The sequence below is a fragment of the Homo sapiens genome, chromosome 9 (assembly GCF_000001405.40).
Source record: "Homo sapiens chromosome 9, GRCh38.p14 Primary Assembly".
Lineage (NCBI taxonomy): Eukaryota > Metazoa > Chordata > Mammalia > Primates > Hominidae > Homo > Homo sapiens.
In genome coordinates this window covers 80,446,476-80,452,580 of record NC_000009.12, presented here as the reverse complement: position 1 = coordinate 80,452,580, position 6,105 = coordinate 80,446,476, and the positions used below count along the sequence as shown (strand labels likewise).

General features: G+C 34.3%; 1 long non-coding RNA gene across 1 annotated transcript in view; it reads right to left on the bottom strand.

The window, feature by feature from the left end:
- Nucleotides 1-1,108: 1,108 nt before the first annotated feature.
- The window catches only part of LOC105376103 (uncharacterized), a 96,161-nt gene continuing 91,164 nt past the window's right edge, over nucleotides 1,109-6,105 (bottom strand). Inside the window, exons 2-3 of the long non-coding RNA XR_929989.3 lie at nucleotides 4,477-4,534; nucleotides 1,109-1,405 (exon numbers count right to left, since the gene is read on the bottom strand). This is a non-coding gene — a long non-coding RNA (uncharacterized LOC105376103). The remainder of the gene's footprint in view (nucleotides 1,406-4,476; nucleotides 4,535-6,105) is intronic.

Genomic DNA, 6,105 nt, shown 5'->3' with positions numbered 1-6,105 from the left:
TAGTTCTCCTTGAAGAGGTCCTTTGCATCCCTTGTTAGCTCTATTCCTGGTTATTTTATTCTCTTTGTAGTGATTGTGAATGGGAGTTCATTCATGATTTGGCTCTCTGCTTATCTATTGTTGGTGTTAAGGAATGCTTGTGATTTTTGCACATTGATTTTGTATCCTGAGACTTTGCTGAAATTGCTTATCAGTTTCAGGAATTTTTGGGCTGAGATGATGTGGTTTTCTAAATATAGGATAATGTCATCTACAAACCGAGACAATTTGACTTCCTCTCTTCCTATTTAATATCCTTTATTTTTTTCTCTTGCTGATTGCCTTGGCCAGAATTTCCAATACTGTGTTGAATAGGAGAGGTGAGAGAGGGCATCCTTGTCTTGTACCAATTTTCAAAGGGAATGCTTACAACTTTTGCCCATTCAACATGATATTGACTGTGGGTTTGTCATAAATAGCTCTTATTATTTTCAAAATTTGACAATGTAGCTAAAGTGGTGCGTAGAGGGAGACTGATAGCTTTAAATGCTTATATTAGAAAAGAAAACAGAATTCACATGAATTATCTAACCTCCTTCTGAGAGAAAAATAGAAGAACAAATTAAACCAAAAGCAAATAGAAGAAAGGATAATGAAAATGAGAGCAGAAATCAATGAAATTTAGAACAGAAGAAAAAGAAAACTAATTTACCCAAAGGCTGATTGTTTAGAAATTTCAATAAAATTAATAAATTTCTAGTTAGAATGACCAAAAAAAAGAGAAAATGCAAATTACAAACAATAAGAACTAATAAAGAAACATCACTACAGACTGTACTGACATTTAAAGAACAAAGGGATGCTGTGAACAACTCTAAGCCCATAAATTAAACAACCTATATGAAATGGACATATTTTTAAAGACAAAACTACCGAAACTTACTCAAGGTAATATTCATATGATACTCAACGATCTATGCTATATAGAGGAAATTTCAGTAAAAGGAGAGTATTATATAACACAGGAGAGAGAAATCTCTTATTCAAAGCATATTTTAGTTTTTGCTATTATACTTTAGTAGCTAAATACATATTTCTTATAAATACAATTGTTGTTAAGTCAGAATGGTAATATTAAGAAGCTCACATTGACTTTTATTTAATAAAACTTGTATACCTTTTTAAAAAGTCATTTCTCTGTACTCCAGTAAAGTAAGGAAAACTGGGATATAATTATTATTATAAGCTACACATAATTTTTCCTCTTAAACATTCTGTTTTCATGTTGTTTGTAAAGTTGATTTTTTAAAAAGTAATTTAGTACTTTTTAAAATCTAGAAACTCATCGGACTTTTTTTTGTCATAGAAGTTTGAAAAATTCCACCAGGATTTCTCTAGATATGGACTTCTTTTGCATTCTGTTTGCCTGAAACATGAAAAAAAATTATTAAATTTCTCAGTGAAATTTTCATTAGATGAATTTTTAGACAATTCAGATAATTTTATTTTGTGATTTCAATATGGCTAGAACTTTGTGCAGTTTTATTTTCACCTATAAAAATTTTTATTAGCCATTGAATAGTGTTCTTGCGTGGTCTTTCAAGTTAATATTTTTCACTTACCCTCAGTCGAAAATGAGAAGGTAAAGTTGAGTTAGAAATTTTCTGTAGCATATATTCTCTACCCAATGATTGCATTGTATTTTAAATTCTTCATATTATACATCTGAATAATTTATAGAAAGCTCTCACAATGATTCTTCCTTCAGTGGGGACTGTTTGACATCCTGTGTATACAGTGTGAATAAAATGTTCATGTAATATACTCACACTGAATCAAAGGAAATAACACTTTGGCTGGCCTTGACTGAATCTTATTTTGCTTTCCTCTTTTAAGTTTTTGTTTTCAGTATTTCTTTCAGTTTTACATATCTTCAGGAGGTGTTAGAATCATTTACTATTTAAATGACAGACTATTAAATTGTTATCTTATAAATTAATTCTGGATTTTGGTATTTTGCATTGAAAGTTAAATGGTATTGAGACCCAAGACATATTCCAAACAGGTCATGAAGTCTAATTAACCTTTTATTACATTCAACTACTTTAAGTTACATGAACTTGGCTCTGTCCTCTAAATATAACAATACAGTTTTGGCATCTCATTAATAAACAGGACAGCATTTATTAACACTGCTATGTAACTAAAGTAAAACTTCATCAATTCAAATCTCAGGGAACCAGAAGTAATCAAGCTAGACCTAAACAGGAACAAATTATCTGACATCATATTTTAGCGGCAGGAGAGCTGAGAAGCTAAACAACTTGCTGTTTCTGTCAAACAATCTTGATTACTTGTCAGTGGAGAAGAAGTTGGTAGGGTATGGAATGAAAGGTTAATTTACTTGCACTCACATAACCTCTCCCTCTCTTCTTACAGAAAAATAATCAAGGTCATTAATTGAAGTTCTGCAAGTCAATTTCTATAAATTCATGACTCACAGGATCATATATTTTAAATTACAAATATAATAGTATTTGAGGTCATCCATGACAAAACATTCTATATAATACTGTTTATTATTATTTTTATCTGACCATATTTTCATTAAACGTTTCTAGACTAAAAACATATACACTTTTGTTAGTCTTGCACCAGAATTCTAATATGAAATATTTATTTGCTCTTCATGTATTCATTCATAAAATATCCTTCCTTTCCTTCTTATATTAACCGTGTCTATCTATATTTTGATGTTTTGACATCTGAGGCCCTGCTGACCCTAGAGGAAGTCAGCTCACTCCAGGATTAGCCAGTTACTAGAGAGAGTAAACAACTCACCTGCGAGCACAACTTTCATATGCAAATCAACCAATGCACAGCTTACACTCTGTACTCTAAGCCACTATCCATCTTCCCTTAGCATTCCAGGGCTAGGTCCTAGACAACTAGAGACAGCACCTATGACCCTGATCCTGCTGTAATTTCTCCCGAGGAAACCACAATAAAGGCTCTTGGCTCAAGATTTTCCCTCTCCCTTTGCCTCCTGACTGCACCTCCCCCACCGCATGCTGGCCTATGTGAGCCCCTGTGTCTCCATCTGTAAGTATAACACATTATCTTTTTGTTGTTTTTTAGAGATAGATTCTCACTCTGTCACCCAGGGTGGGGTGCAGTAGGGTGATTATAGCTCATGTCAACCTCAAACTCCTGAACTTAAATAATCCTCCTGCCTCAGCCTCCCAAGGAGCTTGAACTATAGGCATATGGCATCATACCCAGTTAATTCATTTATTTATTTGTAGAGAAAGGGATCTTGCTACGATTCCCTGGCTGGTTTTGAACTCCTGGCCTCAAGTAATCTTCCCACCTTGGCCTCCAAAGGATTATAGGTGTGAGCCACCATGCCTAGCCCACAAACTATCTTTTCAATGGCAATCATCTCCTGATCTGTTGGCCTTAACATAACTCAATAATAAAACCTATTAAAACTCTCTCTCTCTTTTTCCTTCCTTCCTTCCTTCCTTCCTTCCTTCCTTTCTTCCTTCCTTCCTTCCTTCCTTCCTTCCTTCCTTCCTTCCTTCCTTCTTTTCGTGTGTGGAAATATGTAGAAACCAGTGGCTATTTAAATGAGCCATTACTAATTAGCAAAATGTTGTACTGTCTTGGCTAGGCTATATAAAATAAATTTTAGCAAAATGAGTACTACGAATTTTGGATGGACATACGTCCTTTCATACTTAATAATCCTGAGTGTGAAGAAATACTTCTAAAATCTGCCTTGAGTTATCTAAACTTTAGATGAGTGGGTCAGTCTTCAAATATCAGTTATAGCTTTAGAAATAAGGGGAAATTATTCACCAGAGCACTTAAATAACAGCATATGTTCTTTTCTTTTTATTAACTATAAACAAATACCAAGTTTAAATGTAAACTTTGACTACTAAAACAAAATATGGGTACAGAGTTTTAAAATGGTGCCAACCTCACTTTACCCTTTACATTTTGGTTTTTGTAAGTACACTTACGCCATGGCAGAGAAGTTTAATCATGGATTTAGAAAATGTAATCATCAAAATTTGCTGAAATCAAAGAATAAAAGGGTGAATTAACATTAAAATTATTTTCTCAGCACCTTAAGAAAAGTCATCTCTAAATTAGATTTTTTTGTTACCAATTACAGAAAATATTTGTGAACTCCATTTTATTTGGATTGCATACCTTTTAAAATGTGTTCAGCTTTTTGGTTTTTCATTTCGTTTTGTTGACTTTATCTTTCCACTTAAGTTTTAGCCTAATTCCATTTTATTTTTGACTTTAAGCCTTCTATATTGTTCTCACTGATAACATCATTTATTTCTTAATTCCTCAATCTCCTACTTTCCTTGTTTGCTTGTGATCGATTTGCCCACTCTTTCCTTTTCTCTTGGGGAAGATACTCTCATACTCATTCATTCTCCCTTTTATTCACTTGTGAATTTTTTTCTGGGCACTTACCATCTGCCAGTAATAATAGGAGTCCCAAGGGACACAGAATGACAAGACAATTTCTGTTCTGGAAGAGATGAGAAAAAGAATGAAAAGCCACTAATCAATTAAGATGAAATGTGAAAATTGTTGTAATGAAAGTAAATAGTAAGTGCTATGTGCAAACAGTAGGCAAATTACCAAACTCAGAGGAATGAGATAAAGAAGATTTTCACAGAGGCGCGGATGTTAGTGAGGAGCACTGTAGGATAAATGAAAATTTTCAGGGAAAAAGGGGGAATAGAACATTTGTGACAAAGTTACCAGAATCGTCTAATTGAGTATTATAAAACACCAAGATAGAAGGTAAGCACAGAAAGGCTAGAATTCTGGTAATACTCAATTTATTCTCTTCTCATGTCTATTAGTCAACCTTATCTGACCTGTCCTGTTCCCCAGAAAGCTACCTCTTTGGCCTGCTTCTTCTTACCTCCTTACTATTTTGGCTTCTATTTGGGTTCAACCAAGGGTTGGCACTGGCAGGACACGAGGGTGGGAGGAGAGAATAAAGGTGCATTACTTCCTCACTCCCTTCCTAATTCCATGGAGATGTTCTGGTAGAAGCTCTGTCCCTCCATGACTGTAGCGTCCCCCTAGATGGCCCCTCCATCTAGGGCAAAGGAGCTATGGATTCCTTCCCCCTAGAATTGGCTCCTCCACGTTTCCAATTCTCACTGAGCTCCAGTAATGTCTTTCCTCCCTTGTCTCTTTGACCATTGAATTGGCAATGGCTTTCTACTGTTTCTACTTCTGGGGATCCTACCAATACTTTATTTGTTCAAATCCCAGCTGCAACTTTTCAATACCTCCAATCAACAATTTTCATTTTAGCCATCCGAGTTACATGTTGTACTTTGTAAGTATTCTTACTGCCATGACAGGAAGAAGTTTAATCGTGAATGACCTTTAAAATATCAACTATTTTAAAAATCTTGTTATAACCTGATTTAATATAATCTTGGGTTTCAGTATCTATTTGTATAAACAAAGAAATAAATGACAAACCAGAAAAAATAATGATGGAAAGCATGCAAACATTAAAGCCCCCAAAATCTTAAAAATCTCTGAATATCAAATAAGATTTCTGAGTCAAATTTGGTTATGAAACAAAAGGTAAAAGGGAGTCTTAATTTTTTTTCAGAACTAAATACAAAGTCTAGTAGAAACATTCACAAAGACACAAGATGATTGGGTCTCTAGGTAGATGGTATTATCAGCCCAGAAACAAAAATAGCAAGACATCATAAGCAGGGACTTTGTGGGAGAAGTTATTCTAGCTGTGCCCTTTTCTTTTCCTTTATTGACCTTGGGATAATAATCGTCTATCCTGTTGATGTAGAAGGTCAAGAAACAACAAAGCCATCCAGAATCAGCTGATAACAAAATAGTAAGATTAGGAGATGTCTAAAGAGTAGCTCAGATTAAAAATAATAATAATACATATATAAAAAGCAGGCTTTTGGTGCCCTGGATATGCAAATCCCATTTCATAAACTCCATTTCCTGGAGGAAAATATCTCCAGGTTAGGTTACAGAGTAGGAATAGTGGGTAAATGGAGCAGGATAAAGTGACCAGCCAGGATTGCAATACCATAAACT